At 41.8% G+C, this 18,601-nt stretch overlaps 1 protein-coding gene across 3 annotated transcripts in view; it reads left to right on the forward strand.

The window, feature by feature from the left end:
- ACTN2 (actinin alpha 2) overlaps positions 1-18,601 on the forward strand; it is a 78,133-nt gene that overhangs the window by 27,342 nt on the left and 32,190 nt on the right. For all 3 annotated transcript variants that reach the window (NR_184402.1, NM_001278343.2, NM_001103.4), the window contains exons 2-7: positions 4,018-4,132; positions 5,054-5,173; positions 6,265-6,351; positions 12,093-12,180; positions 13,838-13,916; positions 17,393-17,474. Coding sequence is in view for 2 of the 3 variants with exons in the window: in NM_001278343.2 (NP_001265272.1) it covers positions 4,018-4,132; positions 5,054-5,173; positions 6,265-6,351; positions 12,093-12,180; positions 13,838-13,916; positions 17,393-17,474 (571 nt within the window). In the remaining variant the exon portion in view is untranslated. The remainder of the gene's footprint in view (positions 1-4,017; positions 4,133-5,053; positions 5,174-6,264; positions 6,352-12,092; positions 12,181-13,837; positions 13,917-17,392; positions 17,475-18,601) is intronic.

The raw sequence follows: 18,601 nt of genomic DNA on the forward strand, positions 1-18,601 counted from the left end.
GACTGATAGCTTCATTCCTCACTGTGTGTTTATGTATACACAGATACCACTGAAGGGATATGCAAGAGACTGATAGCTTCATTCCTCACTGTGTGTTTATGTATACACAGATACCACTGAAGGGATATGCAAGAGACTGATAGCTTCATTCCTCACTGTGTGTTTATGTATACACAGATACCACTGAAGGGATATGCAAGAGACTGATAGCTTCATTCCTCACTGTGTGTTTATGTATACACAGATACCACTGAAGGGATATGCAAGAGACTGATAGCTTCATTCCTCACTGTGTGTTTATGTATACACAGATACCACTGAAGGGATATGCAAGAGACTGATAGCTTCATTCCTCACTGTGTGTTTATGTATACACAGATACCACTGAAGGGATATGCAAGAGACTGATAGCTTCATTCCTCACTGTGTGTTTATGTATACACAGATACCACTGAAGGGATATGCAAGAGACTGATAGCTTCATTCCTCACTGTGTGTTTATGTATACACAGATACCACTGAAGGGATATGCAAGAGACTGATAGCTTCATTCCTCACTGTGTGTTTATGTATACACAGATACCACTGAAGGGATATGCAAGAGACTGATAGCTTCATTCCTCACTGTGTGTTTATGTATACACAGATACCACTGAAGGGATATGCAAGAGACTGATAGCTTCATTCCTCACTGTGTGTTTATGTATACACAGATACCACTGAAGGGATATGCAAGAGACTGATAGCTTCATTCCTCACTGTGTGTTTATGTATACACAGATACCACTGAAGGGATATGCAAGAGACTGATAGCTTCATTCCTCACTGTGTGTTTATGTATACACAGATACCACTGAAGGGATATGCAAGAGACTGATAGCTTCATTCCTCACTGTGTGTTTATGTATACACAGATACCACTGAAGGGATATGCAAGAGACTGATAGCTTCATTCCTCACTGTGTGTTTATGTATACACAGATACCACTGAAGGGATATGCAAGAGACTGATAGCTTCATTCCTCACTGTGTGTTTATGTATACACAGATACCACTGAAGGGATATGCAAGAGACTGATAGCTTCATTCCTCACTGTGTGTTTATGTATACACAGATACCACTGAAGGGATATGCAAGAGACTGATAGCTTCATTCCTCACTGTGTGTTTATGTATACACAGATACCACTGAAGGGATATGCAAGAGACTGATAGCTTCATTCCTTATGGGGTAGGGCATTGGGTAGCCAAGGAACAAAGGTGAGAGGATGGATTTTTCTTTGAACCCTTTCGTACCACTTGAATTTCTTTTTCCTTTTTTTTTTTTTTATTCTACTTTAAGGTTTAGGGTACATGTGCACAACGTGTAGGTTTGTTACATATGTATACATGTGCCATGTTGGTGTGCTGCACCTATTAACTCGTCATTTAACATTAGGTATCTCTCCTAATCCTATCCCTCCCCCCTCCCCCCACCCTGTTACCACTTGAAGTTTTATACCAAAGAAACCTATTACTCATTCAAAAAATAAATACATAAAATTAATATGTTAAAAAATAAGTAATGAATTCTTATCATAATCTTACCTTCAAAAAACAAAACTTAATTATCTATAGTGTTGTCCAGTAGAATTTTCTGTGATGATAGGAATGTTGTATATTTGCACCATCCAATACTACTAGCCATATGTGGCTTTTGATCACTTAAAACATGACTTGTGCAACTGAGGAGCTAATTTTTAAATTTTATTTTAATTAGTCTAAGTTTAAGTGGCTACTTCTGGCTAGGAGCTACCACACTGATTGGGTATAGATCTAAAGTATATGGCTTAAGACCGAGTGTGGTGGCTCATGCCTGTAATCCCAGCACTTTGAGAGGCCGAGGCAGATGGATCACCTGAAGTCAGGAGTTTAAGACCAGTCTGGCCAACATGGCAAAACCCCGTCTCTACTAAAAATACAAAAATCAGCTAGGTGTGGTGGCAGGCACCTGTATTCCTAGCTACTAGGGTGGTTGAGGCGGGAGAATCACTTGAACTCGGGAGGCGGAGATTGCGGTGAGCTGAGATCATGCCACTGCACTCCAGCCTGGAAGCAAGACTCCGTCTCAAAAAATAAAAATAAAAAATAAAAATAAATAAAGTGGATGGCTTAGAGTATCTTTTCTGTTTAGACCTGACTAAAGCTTAGACATAATTGTTAGTTTAGGCTCTCAGGGTAAAATTTATTACTGTAAATCCAAAAAATCCCTTCTTCTTCTTTTTTTTTTTTTTTTTGGTCCTTGAATTAAATGCTGTCACCTCCTTCTTGAAAGGAGAAACTATTAGTCAGATTTGAAAATCCTCTTTATCACCCAGGAAAATCATTTTTATGGACACTTTGTCTTTCTGTAGTCTGACTTAGAAGCAGCCTGTTTTTGATAGGTTGAAGTTTTCATCTTGAACACAAACCCTGTTTGTGTGTCCCCTACTCCCCAGTTTGATGTGCCAGGCACTTTGTTCTCAAGCCCAGCAGCTGTTGTGGGATGAGGGGACATTTTGCATGCTTAGCCAGCAGCTGCCAGAAACATTTCTAATCTGGTTTTGGCAGGAAATAGGGCACAAGTGGAAGCCAAGTTAAAAGAAGCTGGAAAAATAAACAGAATAACTTTAGATGTCACTTAATATATGGTCCATTTTCAGCCGAAGATTTGCCCTAGTAATTTGTTAATATGACTGGACTGTGATCCCTTCCAAAGGCAGGGTTGAATATAGTCACCTTTGAGATCCAGGATGTAGTCCAGTGCTTGGAATATGCTTGTAGGAGGTTATTGTTATTATTTTTTCAATGATAGACTATACTGCAAATTTGTTTAATTGATTTAATTAGTAGCTTAAAACTGTTGTTCACCCGAGATAAACTAGTTCTAGGTTATCACTGGTTATGGGTCCCTTCTCTCTTCTTTCTGCTACACAATATCACCCACCCTCTCCTCTAAAGCAACACATTTTGAACATTTTTTTTTTTTTTTTTGAGACAGAGTCTCACTCTGTCACCCAGACTGGAGTGCAGTAGTATGATCTTGGCTTGCTGCAACCTCCGCCTCCTGGTTTCAAGCTACTTCCCTGCCTGAGCCTCTTGAGTAGCTGGGACTACAGGCACACGTTACCACACCCAGCTAATTTTTGTATTTTTAGTAGAGACGGGGTTTTACCATGTTGGTCAGGCTGGTCTCGAACTCCTGACCTCAAGTGATCTGCCCTGCCTCAGCCTCCCAAAGTGCTGGGATTACAGGTGTGAGTCATCACACCTGGCCTTTGAACATTCTTCAAACATTATTTAGACTGGGCATGGTGGCTCATGCCTGTAATCCCAGCACTTTGGGAGGCTGAGGCAAGAGGATTGCTTGAGTCTAGGAGTTTGAGACCAGCCTGGGCAACATAGCAAGACCCCATCTCTAAAAAAAAATTAGCTAGGTGTGGTCGTGCATGCCTATAGTCCCAGCTACTTAGGGGGCTGAGGCAGGAGGATCAGTTGAGCCTGGGAGGTTGAGGCTGCAGTGAGCCATGATCACACCACTGTTCTCCAGCCTGGGTGACAGAGCTGGATGACCCTGTCTCCAAAACAAAACAAAACACTGTTATTTATTCATCTATTCTGCTGCAAGCAAGCATATTTTGCATATTTGTGAGCAAGAAATAAGCACATCTTAATTTAATCTATCTTTTCTACAAAGTAAAAGGGTTTCAAAAGGTGAAGATACAGGTATAAATGTGGTGTCTTTTTAAATGGAAGGCAAAAATTCTTCAGGTTGGAATATCCAATAAGAGAGTCTTTATCTCTAAAGTGGAAAATTTACTAAAATCGTTCTTTTGGGTTTCCAGTTCTTCTTTCCATCAAATTCTGCATCCTCTAGAAGCCCAAGCAGCCCCAGCCTTGTAGATTCCCAAGAACGTGTAAGGTGTCAAGTGTCGTCTGTGAGGAAGGGATCTGAAATCCGATGGACCTGTGCTAAACCGTGTTTGGTTTTCTTTGCAGACCTTCACTGCCTGGTGTAACTCCCACCTAAGGAAAGCCGGCACCCAGATTGAGAACATCGAGGAAGACTTCAGGAATGGCCTTAAGCTCATGCTGCTTTTGGAAGTCATCTCAGGTTGGTGTTATATATCCCATCCTATGCTTTCATGTGTTATCAGTAGGTGAGCATCTATTTAAAGATGACTACATCAGAAGTTCGCTTTGAACTTGGCTGGGCAAGAACATGGTATTATTGCCAAAGAAAACCTTTCCAAAGAACAATCTGCCTGGAGTTATTTTTCCGTTCTAAAAAAAGGAGTGAATTCTCTTTAAAAATCACTTATTAAAATAATGTTTATACCACCAAGCTTGAAACAAAATAAGAGAAGAAAAAATGACTTCACACGACTCCCTCCATGCTGCCCTTTCTACTCTTCGTCCAGCTAGAGTGTATTCCAGAAATCATCTTGTATCCAAAAATCTACTGTACATGTTGGCAGAACTCTGAACATATAAGCTAAAATCCCAGTGGGGCTATGATTTGTCCTGAATTTCAGTTGGCTGATTTAGACTTTGGACTAGAGAATGGATCACCTTTGGAGAAGTGTGACTGGGAAGGATTATGGCAGATCTGCCCTGATCCATCTGTCTTCATAATCAGGTGTCGAACGAGCCCTGGCAGCCACCTCTGTGATTTTAACTGGCCATCCTGACTTCCTCTAACCGTTAGCCAGCAACTCTGAATACTCCAGGGACTCTAACCAGCTTCTCTTTTTACTCATTTGTAAGTTGGATCATGGGCCAAACCAGACTCTCCCTGCAGATCTGAAAAGCATGTGTCCTTCATAGTATGGCTCCCTGCTGGTCCATTTGATTCTGAAAGTTTCTGGGTTAGTGTTCCCTCATTGCTGTGATTTAGAGAGACCAGGCACACATCAGAAATAGTCATGTAACCTTCTCTTTTTAAGGAAAAGATGGATGCTTAGTTTTGGCATCTTGATTCCGCATCAAGAGGTCACTGTCTCTATGTCTGCATGATTCTCTTTTCATCCAACAGGGGAAAGGCTGCCCAAACCTGACCGGGGAAAAATGCGGTTCCACAAAATTGCTAATGTCAACAAAGCTTTGGATTACATAGCCAGCAAAGGGGTGAAACTGGTGTCCATTGGCGCTGAAGGTGAGAGGTGTGGTGGGTGGTCCTGTCTGCCACACTGACCTAATAGCGTAGGTGTGGGCTGCGACTTGAATTCTCCCCTTCTTCCCTCCCTTTCACCATTTACTGTACCTGCCTTGTATCAGGCTCTCTCTTAGGGCGCTCGGTGCACAAAGATAAGAACAAATGGTACCATGAGTGGGAGACCAAGCTCTAGGTTCTTTGTAAAGCATAGAATTAAATATAATGCTGTCATCTTCAGAAGACTTAAAGGACTGAGAAAGAACTTACACATCCCAATGACTCTTAATAAGAACTAACTAATAGGAAGGAAGTGGCCTCTTTGTTCTCTATGGGAGACTGGGAATTTGGTGAGGTCAGCGGGAGCTGAGATTTCCACCCATATCTCTGTATGCACAACTGAGTCCTGCTACTTGTCAGCTGCGGAATGCCGTAAGAAGGGTCAGGGTAAAGATGAGACTGTGTTCTCTTTATTTGATTATTTAAAACTTTAGCTCATGGCTGGGCACAGTGGCTCATGCTCATCCCAGCACTTTGAGAGGCTGAGGCGGGTAGATCACCTGAGGTGAGGAGTTCAAGACCAGCCTGGCCAACGTGGTGAAACCCCATCTCTACTAAATTTACAAAAAATTAGCTGGGTGTGGTGGCGCATGCCTGTAGTCCTTGTAGTCCCAGCTACTCAGGAGGTTGAGGCAGGAGAATTGCTTGATCCCAGGAGGCGGAGGTTGCAGTGAGCCACGGTTGTGTCACTGCACTGCGGCCTGGGCGACAGAGTGAGACTCCATCTCAAAAAAAAAAAAAAACCTTAGCTATTACATCTTAAAACTTTGGAAACTCCCGGGTGGTTTTCACTGATAATACATATGCAAGATTTGTGCTTATTATTAACTTAGAATTTATTTAAACTAGAGACATTTGGTTATGAATACTGTATTTATAACCAGACATACTGCGGTGCTTATAAAAACATAAACTGGTCTTTCCATCCATATGCACATTTTCCAATAGCTCTGAAGTCAACATTTATATATAGGAAAAAAGTTACGTACAGACTATGTTATCTTTACATTAATTTGTTGTTTTCTTACCTGCAGAAATTGTTGATGGCAACGTGAAAATGACCCTGGGTATGATCTGGACCATCATCCTTCGCTTTGCTATTCAGGATATTTCGGTTGAAGGTAAAAGACATGGTTAAAAGTCTAATTGTATAATCTGTAAATTGAGCTTGTGAATTAAAATTTGAGCAAGATGTTTTAAAGTCCAACAGTCACTTACATGATTGAATGAGAGACATGTAAGTGGGTTCTTATAAATTTTGTATGTGTATAGGAAAAGACCTCGGCAGCACTGTTTCATTCATGGGGGTGGAATCGGTTTGCAAAAGATGAGCACATGTTCAGAACAGAAGTCGCTTTTTAAAATGAGCATTTATTGAGCTTCTTGATTGCTTATTATACTAGTAAATTTACAGCTATGGCAGAGTTCTTTAGTCTTACAACTGAAACACTTTCTTTCCCCCTGGTATAAAAAAAGAATCTGTTGCAACCCATGTTTGTTATTTCCTTAACTTTCTTCCTCCCTATCTCTCTCCCTCTCTTTTTCTTTTTTCTTCTTTTTCTTTTTAAACAAGACCTCTATTGTCACTGTATCTTTTGGCCTAACTACTGTTTCATCATTATCATAGAATCTTAATCCTTGACACTGCCACTGAAGATAAAAATCTTTAGTCTTTTACACCAACTACACTCCCAAATATTTTGATGAATTCAGCACTGTTGAAAAGTGTCAAATTGGCATTCTTAAAATTGGAACTTTGCCTGTTTGGCCCTCAAATCACAAAGTGTATAACTGCAGAATGTGTTTCAGGGCTGCTGCATTGTCCAACTATTTGGCCCCTTCTGACTCTGTAATCCAGTAGGTAACCAGGTACCTGAGTGGTAAGGGGTGGAGACGTTATTTATAATTCTGCCCAGGCCACAGTAGCCTCTGACTCTGGTTTTTGTTTTTTGTTTTTTTTTTTTTTTTTTTTTTTGAGACGGAGTCTCACTCTGGCACCCAGGCTGGAGTTCAGTGGCGCGATCTTGGCTCACTGCAAGCTCTGCCTCCTGGGTCCACGCCATTCTCCTGCCTCAGCCTCACGAGTAGCTGGGACTACAGGCGCCCACCACCATGCTGGCTAATTTTTCATATTTTTAGTAGAGACGGGGTTTCACTGTGTTAGCCAGGATGGTCTCGATCTCCTGAGCTCGTGATCCGCCCGCCTCAGCCTCCCAAAGTGCTGGGATTACAGGCATGAGACTCTGGTCTTTTTAAGTGATTTTAGGTACTCATCAACCAACAAACATTAAGAAACAACACTTTGCCTACTTGTACCAGCTGACATGAAGCCTGCAGTACTTGCCCTTATGGACCTTCAAACTCACTTCAATTATTCCCTTCTGGCACCGGAGACCGACTTATGTCATCTAAAAGTCAAACTAAAATCTAATGGCATTAAAACAATTCAAGCTCAGGAATGACAGCCAGCTTGAATTAATACATAGTCTGACTTTGAAAACTTTTGTACAATATAGTTCTATTACAGTACCTTCCTTTATGCTAATGAAAGAAACAAGAGGCTTCCTAAAATTCTTGCTTTATTTAAAAATTGTAAGTTGTAATAATTTTATCAGTTTTTATATACTTCTAAATTTAAATATTTAAACTGTTGAACCCACTTTAAATAAATACTACTTTTAGAAATCTTGGTCACACTGTTGCTGGTCTAGCAAATCCTTTTTCCACAAATATTACAGAGGTGAAGTTGACCTCAAGTTGTTTCTGATTGGTTACAAATTTTAAATTAGTGATAATATGAATTCAAACTTAATTATATTTCAAGTGTAGGTATGAATGGTATTATCCATTAGAGTTTTCCCCAAAATTGTTATTAACATGCCCAAAGCAAGATAGCTAAATCACAATATTTTGTAAAATTTTGCGATAAAAGGCTATATTAATCTGCTCTTCACAAGACTAAGAAATTAAACATTAAAAAATTATAATTTTATTAGGAAAGTACCTACTAGATCTCTTCAAGCAGATGGTTCTGCAGTGTCCAACACAGTAGATACTGTCAGTTTGCTAATTTATATTTTTATTTGTTTTAGTTTCATGGAGTAATTGTTTAACAACCTCATTTAACTTCTGTAAGTCTACAGAAAAATCATCTTTATTTGTTTTAATGATGTGTGGTATGTTGAAAAATTCATTGTTATTAGAATCAAAGAAACAATTCTTTGAGGAGTGAGTTTCCTTCAGCAAAATGATGGGCCTCTTCCAAGAAAGAAAATGAGAGATTAGGCCGGGCGCGGTGGCTCACGCCTGTAACCCCAGCACTTTGGGAGGCCAAGGTGAGTGGATCATGAGGTCAGCAGTTCGAGACCAGCCTGGCCAACATGGTGAAATCCCGTCTCTACTAAAAATACAAAAATTAGCCAGGTGTGGTGGCATGTGCCTGTAATCCCAGCTACTCAGGCGGCTAAGGCAGGAGAATCGCTTGAACCTGGGAGGTGGAGGTTGCAGTGAGCTGAGACCACACCACTGCACTCCAGCCTGGGTAACAGAGCAAGACTCCGTCTCAAAAAAAAAAAAAAAAAGAAAAAGAAAATGAGAGATTAATATATCTGTTGATGAAGGCAGTGCAGATGTAAGTAGATGATGGAGCTCCTTGGGGTGTCATTCAGTGCTTTGTGATGCAATGAGAAATGTTACTGCCAATCTGTAACATGCTTTTTATACCATGATCAGGGTTTTGTGTGTGGACCTGTTTGTGCCAAATGGCCGCATTTCCACTTTCCCATACACCTTTCGGGAGTAGGTTTTCCAGTAATGTACGTAATTCACACAAGGTTGTTAACCTTTTGCTGAAAGCCTAAAACTGGATTTGGGGTTGGAGGAGGGTCAGCTTTGATTGTAGTAACCAATTGAAGAAGGAAAAAGCCTTGTTCGGCATTCATGGCCCAAGAGTGTTCACACATATTCAGGCAGAAATTAAGTGAAACTCCGTGACTTGTAAATCTAAACTTCAGTGGCAATTTTAAGGTGTTGTAGATATACTGTACCTTTGTTTGCTTTTCTAACCTGGTAAGTTTTATTTAAACTCTATTAAATACATCCCATTATTTCTTCCTGATGTACTTCTTCTTCTTAATTTCATTGGTCAGGACTGCAAAGACAGGCAGAACAACTGGCTGTGGAGTTCCAGATTTCAATGTCCATATCAATTCACATTTTAATTAAGTCTTAACAGTTTCACTTTATTTTCCCTTAACTAGCACTTGCTAATTAAAAGACATGCACAGGAGTTGTTCAAGTTATAGCACATGGAACTTTAGGGGTGTGTGTATTTTATCTGGGTTATGGGTCCAAGAAAGTATGAACTAAAATGGACAGTTTTTTGTTTTGTGTTGTTTTGTTTTGTTTTGTTTGAGACAGGAGTCTCACTCTGTCACCCAGGCTGGAGTGCAGTGGTGCAATCTCGGTTCACTGTAACCTCTGCCTCCCAGGCTCAAGCAATTCTCCTGCCTTAGCCTCCCAAGTAGCTGGGATTACAAGTGCCCGCCACCGTGCCCGGCTAATTTTTGTATTTTTAGTAGAGATGGGATTCGCCATCTTGGGTCTTGAACTCCTGACCTCAGGTAATCCACCAGCCTCGGCCTCCCAAAGTGCTGGGATTACAGGTGTGAGCCACTGTGCCTGGCCTAAAAATGGACAATTTAGATAAATAATTACAAAATTATTTTCATTTGAAAAAATCAACTTCAACCCCTTCCTAAGATGGAAGGCCCCATGTTAGTTAGGAATCGACATGCTTTAGGGAATTTCTAAATTGTTAACATTTAAATATAGGCGGAATCCTAAGTTATATAAGTGGCTTTGAGGAGCTGTTTAGATGTGTGTCGGTTTGGGTCCTCCAGGAAGCAAGTGCCAAGACTTACTAGAAATTGTTGTAGTCTTTCCAGGCCTTTATAAAAACATGCCATAGCATGGATGGCTTAAACAGCCGACCTTTATTTTCTCACAGTTCTTGAGGCTGGAAGTCCAAAATCAGAGTGCCAGCATGGTCTGGTTCTGTGAGGATCCTCTTCCTGGCTTGCAGATGGCTGCTGCCTTGATGTGCCGCACGTGGTGGGTGGGGGTGGGGGAGAACCTGCCAATGAGCAGGCTCCCTGGTGTCTCTCTCATGAGGACACTAATCCGATCATGAGGGCCCCACCCTCGTGACCTCATCTCACCCTAAGCACCTCCTAAAGGCCCCATCTCCAAATACAGGCACATTAGGGTCTAGGGCTTCAACATATGAATTTGGTGATGGGCGGGAAGACACCAACATTGAGGCCATACCAGAAGTGCAGGAGATTTTTTGGGGAAAATGCCTATGCAGGATGAAGGGGAGGGAGCAGGAGATGCCTGAGGAGCCTTCAGACCAGAGCTCCTGGCTGACACCTGGGCCGAGAAGAGGAAGGGAGGAGGCTTGGGGAAGAAGGTCTCCGACTGCAGTGCAGTTCTGAGGTTAATTTCGCCAGGCTGATGGAGTCTTTAATCCTAGGCTGCCCTGAGAGGAGTCTCACGTCGCATAGGGGTGTCTCAGCTCTGCTGCTCACCCCCCAGTCTTTGGCTGGAGCAGCTCTGGGGAATGTGGCCTCAGTGGGAATGCAGGGGTGTGGTGCATTCAGGGGGCTGCAGCTGGCACGTCAGTTGCCTGCCCTGTGCTCGCAGCTGAAGCCGTGGGACGTCTGAGCGGCACATTTTTATGGTCATCACAGATGGTGCTGGGTTTTTCCTTTTTTTTTTTTTTTTTTTTTTGGTGAGAAGTCAATTGGCCAAACTTGAAATTTACCAATAAAACCCTTTAAGTGTTACAAAATCACTGGGCAAAGGAATACATTTGAGATGTGGTAGCATCTGTGAATTCCATTTACCTAAGAGTATGAATTACAAACCAGATGAATGACAGATTAGTTGTCATCAACTACACACAGTTTATTTTTTCATGTGAGTTGCACTGTAGACTATTTATGTTTGCATATTTTTCAGGATTGTGTACAGTAAACCTTAAGTGAATACAAAGGATCCAATTGTCCTGTAAGACTCACTTCAATTACAGATTGTGCTCAGTATTAAACTTTGCTAGTACTTTCAGGATGCAGTCAATCAAGAGGCAGGGAAAGGTCTGTCAGCATCCACAGCCTCCTTTTCAAATTGGACACTTAGTCTCTGGTCCGAATAATAGGTGCCCCCAGTGTCACCTCACACAATGGGGTATACACAGTTTTTAAAAATTTATTTTCAGCTGGGCACAGTAGCTCACACCTAAAATCCCAGCACTTTGGGAGGCTGAGGCAGGTGGATCACCTGAGGTCAGGAGTTCAAGACCAGCCTGGCCAACGTGGCAAAATCCTGTCTCTACTAAAAATACAAAAATTAACCGGGCATGGTGGTGGCACCTGTAGTCCCAGCTACTCGGGAGGCTGAGGCAGGAGAATCTTTTGAACCCGGGAGGCAGAGGTTGCAGTGAGCCAAGATCCCACCACTGCACTCCAGCCTGGGTGACAGAGTGAGACTGTGCCTCAAAAAAAATTAAAAAAAGTATTTTCATTTAAAAAGGGGCGAGTCACCAACCACCCTGAAGTCTAGTTTTAGTGTCTTTTTATGTTGGAGCTTGTGGCTGCTCCTGCATTGTCCTTTTGAAGTCCCTAAGTGTCATCAGAATTTACTCACCAAGATCAGGGTTCTGGCTCCTATGCACTTGCCGAGGCTGTAGGAAGAGACCCCCTGGGTGATCGACCCCCTGGGAGGTCTGTTTCAAAAGTGACTAGGAGCTAAGTGAACTAAGCGGCATTTCCCTGGGGCCACTTTTTCTTGGCTGTCATTACAGAAACATCTGCCAAAGAAGGTCTGCTGCTTTGGTGTCAGAGGAAAACTGCTCCTTATAGAAATGTGAACATTCAGAACTTCCATACTAGGTGAGCACCCAGGGCCCCTGGTCCTTGTATTCTCAGTGGAATCTGTGGGTAGCATGGGGAACAGTGTTTGTGTGCACCCGTGTTTTCCTCCTGTCTGAGAAGCCTTTTATGTATCGAGGAGAACTCAGGCTGTAGAATTCTTGATGCTTAAAGTCTCCCAGAGGAAAACATTGGATTAAGCCTTAGCATGCTGGTAAACAGCACTGTATTTGTAAGTGAATGGTATTGCAGTACCAGAAGGATGCTACTGAGTTTGGGGGTGTAAGCATGCATCTTACTCTAGCCTTCACCCTGGTATTGGGAAAAGGCAGCAGGAATGGCTGTTGTTTCTCAGGGATGAGGGAGACCCTGGCAGAGTCTGCGTACCCCCCACTAGCGACTCTTCAGCCCTCAGCCCTGTAGGAAATAGATCCTTCATCCATCAGCTTTGCTCTGCTGAAATTCAAAAGATGGAGAAAAATTATGTCTGAAAAATGGTAGGAAATGAGATGAATGAAATCTCGACATCAGGGGAGAGCATGATTCTGTCACTTGCTTCAGTCTTTCTCATGTAGAGTGGTCATTATGATGTTGAAGTAAAAGAGTTGGTTATATTTTCACCTTTGGATGCTAGGTTACCCATGAATGCAAAAAGGCCACTGAGATAATCAGAAAAAGGAAAGATAAGGATGAACCACGGTGAAAAATTGGGGAGGTTCTTCTAGTTGAACAAATATTTTCAGAATGTCTACCAAGTGTCAGGCACTGAGCCAGGCCTTGGGAAGACAAAGGGGAAGAGAATCCTTCTTTGTCCCTACACCATGCTGTTTGGCAGATGAGAGGAGCTACCAAGGGCTGGGACTTTCTGCAGGTGTCAAAGTCAGAGTGCCCAGATCTGCATCCACTCATCTTGCTTTTCTTTTTCTGGCTCCTAGTTGGCCCAAGTACTTCAGCATTGTAGCACTGATAACTCTCACGGAGGTCTCCTTCCCCAGACCCTTTGAGGAACAGAACTCCCACACTCTGCTGTCACTGAACCCGCTGTCGCCAGCAAGCTCTGGCCTGCCCTTGTCTATGGGGCATTTAGAGCTGGTGTCTACGGCGGAACAGACCAGAAATAAACATCTGCCCTGCTAATTGCATGTCCTCCTTCACCTACATGCCTTTGCCTTAAAAAAAGAAAAAGAAAAAAAAAAGAACTTAAAGACAGAGGAGTATCTGGGACCTAATGGAGGTTTTTGAAGCGTCCTAAAAACTTTTAGAGGAAGTGTGTTCTGGACATTTGCAGGGTAGACGTCCTTGTGTATATTTATTGGGCAGACTCAGGGGTAAGGGCCAGAATGGAGAGTTGGAGAAGAGAGAGGAACCCTGGGACTGGCCGAGCAGGGACAGCAGTAGAGACATCTCCCTTCCTGTCACTGCCTGTGCCAGCACGGACCAGATCAGGGCAGGAGACAGGGCAAGTCTCAGGCAAGGAAGTCAAAAGGAGAGGAGTACCGTGGACCCTGGGAAGAAGATGAGTGTTCAAGCTCACCGGGCGGGGTAAAGAGGAAGCTACATGGGGCCCTCCGTGCATGAAGTCAGACAGAAGGAAGGCCAACATCTGACTGAGTGCAGATGCTGGCTGCTTCTTTCTCTCCACTAACACGTGTTCCTGTTCTTCTCGACGGCTGTGAAGCTGGAAAGATGGCCTTGGACTCTGTGCCCTCATCCACCGACACCGGCCTGACCTCATTGACTACTCAAAGCTTAACAAGGTTATTCTGGGTGGCCTGGCATGCAGTGTCCCCAGCCACGCGTCTCAGCATGTCCTGCAAATGAGCACATCAGCACTAGCCTAGCACAAACCCCAGGGCCACCTGCAGAAACGGCCACCAGGAAAAAGCACATTCTCCCAGCTAGCCTTTCCCATGATCCAAGTATGAAGAGTGGCCAGGAAAACACTTACCTCTTAAAATCAGGGAAAACAAGACCCAAAGTTAAGTCATCCCTTTTTGCCCATATCAAGATATGTTTGATGATTTGGCTTGATTTACTATGAAGGCTTTCTATATGTTCCTTAGAGATTTTACATTCCTGGATTCTAAATATGAGAAGTGAAACCTCTATTTTTGCGGGGAAGAAAGATTCAGATAGCCCAAGCCTTTTTTTTTTTTTTTTTTGAGACAGAGTCTCGCTCTGTTGCCCAAGCTGGAGTGCAGTGGTGTGATCTCGGCTCACAGCAGGCTCCGCCTCCCGGGTTCATGCCATTCTCCTGCCTCAGCCTCCCGAGTAACTGGGACTACAGGCATCCGCCACCACGCCTGGATAATTTTTTGTATTTTTAGTAGAGACGGGGTTTCACCGTGTCAGCCAGGATGGTCTCGATCTCCTGAGCTCGTGATCCGCCCGCCTCAGCCTCCCAAAGTGCTGGGATTACAGGCGTGAGCCCCTGTGCCCGGCCCATCCAAGCCTTTTTAAAGTCAAGTTCCCTTGACTTTTTCTGGAGGATTTAGTTGTAGACATATTTATTCAGAATTGATTAACTCGTCCGTCACACAAGGGCTACTTCATAACTGTCTTGTTATTGTTAGAAAATATCATTTGTAGCCTTGCATAAGAAGTTTTTGGGGCAGGCGTTTTTTTTTAGTTTTGCTTTTTTTCAGAAAATTTAACTTAGAAAACTGCAATTCTGCCTTTAAGGTAAAGGTTTAGTGTGTTTAAGTCTCAGATTAGTATTCAAATTCTTTCTTTAAAAGTAGTTTTAAGGCCGGATGTGGTGGCTCACACCTGTAGTCCCAGCACTTTGGGAAGCCGAGGCAGGAGGCTTGCTTGAGCCCAGGAGTTTGAGGCTGCAGTGGACTGTGATCACACCACTGCCCTCCAGCCTGGGCCACAGGGTGACACACCAACTCCCAAACAAAAACGTAGTTACAATGTAACCTATGATGGAAAAAGATATCAATGTCCTTTCTGAAGCTTGTGGCTGCTCTGTGCTGCCTTAGAGATAATAGTGTGTAAGGCAGTACAGAGCGTCCACAAGATTCACTAAGGCAGCACAGAGCATCCACAAGATTCAGAAGGGACCTTGATTTCTTTTTCCATCATGGGTGGTGAAACCCTGTCTGTTCTAAAAATACAAAAATTAGCTAGGCGTGGTGGCAGGTGAAACCCTGCCTCTTCTAAAAATGCAAAAATTAGCCGGGTGTGGTGGCAGACGCCTGTAATCCCAGCTACTCAGGAGGCAAGGCAGGAGAATGGCTTGAACCCAGGAGGCGGAGGTTGCAGTGAACCGAGATGGCACCACTGCCCTCCAGCCTGGGCGACAGAGCGAGACTCAGTTTCAAAAAAGAAAAGAAAAGAAAGAATGGTGTGTAAAGACTTAAGGGTAAAAGCAAGGCCCACCCTTACTACACATTTCTGCAGTAGCCACTACACGTTTCCTGCCGGGTGCTGGTGTGCTGAGCTCGCCATTCACGTGCTGTTGCTGTGTTTGGGCGTGGACTCCAGCCCTTTTGCATGCTGACCTCACTCGTGTGGCATGGATGGTCGTAAGAAGAGTGTCCTGGCTTCCACCACCTTTTTAGTTATCCCTTGCTTACCTCCTGCCCCCAGCCTGCCTCCATGGCATACAGGGTAGCATGTGAAGAGTTTACTGGTATCCTAAAGGTTAAGAATGAAATATTTTAAGGTAGCCCATGAAAACGGAACTTTTTCCCAGCTTTTCAATGGATGTATTTTCTTATCCCCTGAATTACTTTGAAATGTTCCAAGCATATAGACAGGGTACAGTTCTTTTCAATTAATCTTAATCTCATTTGCAAAATGAGGGGATTGTACTGCATAGACCCAGTTTCATTAGCAATTTATTATGGTCAGTTTGTATTACAAAACATCCGTAGATCTGTAGTAATTGGTCATCTTTAAGAAAGCAGAAAAATGATAATACAATAGCAAGTAATACTTATATAGCACCAGGGCAGGCACTGTTATAAACAAATAAACATACATGTATATTCACACATGCATATATGCATATGTATGAAATCCCACGTGCACATTTAATCTTCACAATGCACAGTAACCCTGTAAAGTAGGTACTATTATTATCCCAGTTTTACAGATGAAGAAAGTGGGAAGTTAGTAATCTACCAGAGGCCACATGGCCGATAGCTGAGGTAGGAAATCAATACTTAATTGGCACATTTTATCATTTAAATTACACTCTAAATGAGATAGCTTTCACAAAGTCTCAGGTGATAAGCTTTGTTAAAAGAACGTTTAGTTAAACACTTTTTTTTTTTTTTTACTGAAATCGCTGTATACTCTGTGAGGCCAGAAAGCTGACTTTGGTTTCTTCATTGAGCACTGTGAATATATTTGAAACCTGCACTTTTTCAGTGTTTCACTGTATAAAAATGATTGTGCTCATTGGAAAACATTGCGGTTTCTAAAATATTGAAATGACTTTGTTATTAAAATTCGTTAAAGTCACATTTCATTTTGATTTTTCTATCTTACCTCCATTTCTTTTGAAATTCTTAATTTCTTTTGAATTTCTCTAGTGGATCAAAATAAGAAATGTTGCATCTTCTTTGTTTTCACTATTTTAGTTATATACCTCTGGTTAAGTTTATTTTGCTATGTTATGTATATTTAACTAGTTTTTACGGTGGAAGGTAAATGTAATTTTAAGAACAAAATTTTTTTCATGAATTCACTTAATGATTTTCAGGTTTTGTCATTTCTTCTTGCTTTAACATGAGTTTTGCCCTTTGTAACACTAGTAACACTCTTTAGTCAGCTAAAAGTTTTAGCTAGCAACATTTTTCTTTCATCTCTTTACCCCTCAGCTTTCCAATATTTAAAATCAGGGTGCTGGTTCTCCAAGATCCCCTTCCAAGTCTGGAAAATGCATGTTTCATTATTTAGAATGATTTAAATGTTATTTCTAGGCCTGAAGATCAGTTCTGATGGATTCAGTGTGTCCTTTCTTGTCAATGCATCTGTTCTCTTAAACTCTTTGTTCACACTTTATGATTGGAGTGTGCATGGATTTTGTGGTTTCTGTCATTTTTGATGTTTCTCTAAATGTTTGAAGTGATTGGGAAAAGATGAAAAGGAAAGTTACACTATTATGATTGTGTGTGGGTGGGAAGGTGTCCGGCCTAAAGTGAGGTACATAAGAAACATTCTTCATAAGTCTTGTTTCAAAATATATTTTAAAAATCTGACTGTCTTGGTTTTCATACAGGATGACCCCATAGGAAATATTAACCTGGCCATGGAAATCGCTGAGAAGCACCTGGATATTCCTAAAATGTTGGATGCTGAAGGTGAGATGAAAATTGTGTTTGCTGAGTTACAGGAAATTTGAAGACTACAAATGTTATGGCTACACATTGGGACCTTGCAAAATTTTATAGCGAAGTTACATCCGAAGTACTTTGGATTCCTAACAAATTTCTGTCACTGGCCACATAAGTAGTAGAGATTTTCATGTGTAGCTTGTTCATAAAATTTGTTTTTAAAAATTGTACCCTCAAACAAGCCAGCAAAATTACAGGAAAAGGATTTGGTAAAAAGTTCAGCTTTGGCTAAGAAACAAAATGCTTTTATTTATAATTTTAAAAAAACATTTCCTGTATTTATTTTTTCCAACAACATAATGTTTTCTCCCTAACCACTTAGAGACAAGTGTAGCAAATAAATCCCTTTGTGACATACTTAAGAGAAAAAAATTCCTTCCTTCCAGCCAGAAGTTAGAGAATTGAAATATAGAATATGGAGCATTCAACCATCAGTGTACCATCCAAACTTTCACATATTGTTTTTAATTCATCTAAATTTAATTTATTTAGAGCTGAAAGAACTTCCATATATTTTGCACTTCAGTATCACTCATTCTGGGGACTTGTTTCAAATACTTTTTGTCCCTTTTATATGGTGAATTTGTGTGAGCTGTACCTACAGCAGACCACTGAAAGCACAAATGTGTGGACACCATTCGTTCATTTTATTTATTCATGATTTATGCCCTCAAGAAGCTTATATTCATATATTACTTTGTTCGTTATTGTAAATATTATTATTCCCTAGTGGTCCATTACTTCCACTAATTAGTGATGTTGGGGAAAACTAAGGAAATTGATTATAGTCAGTCGTCAATCTTCCATTCCTCTTTGCTTTTGGTAATTGTATTATGGCCTTTGTAACAAATTACTGCAAACTGGGCAGCCTCACACAGCAGAAATTTCATAGCTCTGGAGGCTGTGTCTGAAATCAAGGAGTAGGCAGCTCCCTAAGCCTCTAGGGGAGGATTCTTCCTCGCCTCTTCCAGCTTCTAGAAGCCCCAGACATTCTTTGGATTGTGGCAGCATCAGTCCAATCTCTCCCTCTGTCTTCACACAGCCTTTTCCCCTCTGTGAATATTTTCTTTTCTTTTTCTTTTTATTTTTTATTT

The sequence above is a fragment of the Homo sapiens genome, chromosome 1, assembly GCF_000001405.40.
Source record: "Homo sapiens chromosome 1, GRCh38.p14 Primary Assembly".
Lineage (NCBI taxonomy): Eukaryota > Metazoa > Chordata > Mammalia > Primates > Hominidae > Homo > Homo sapiens.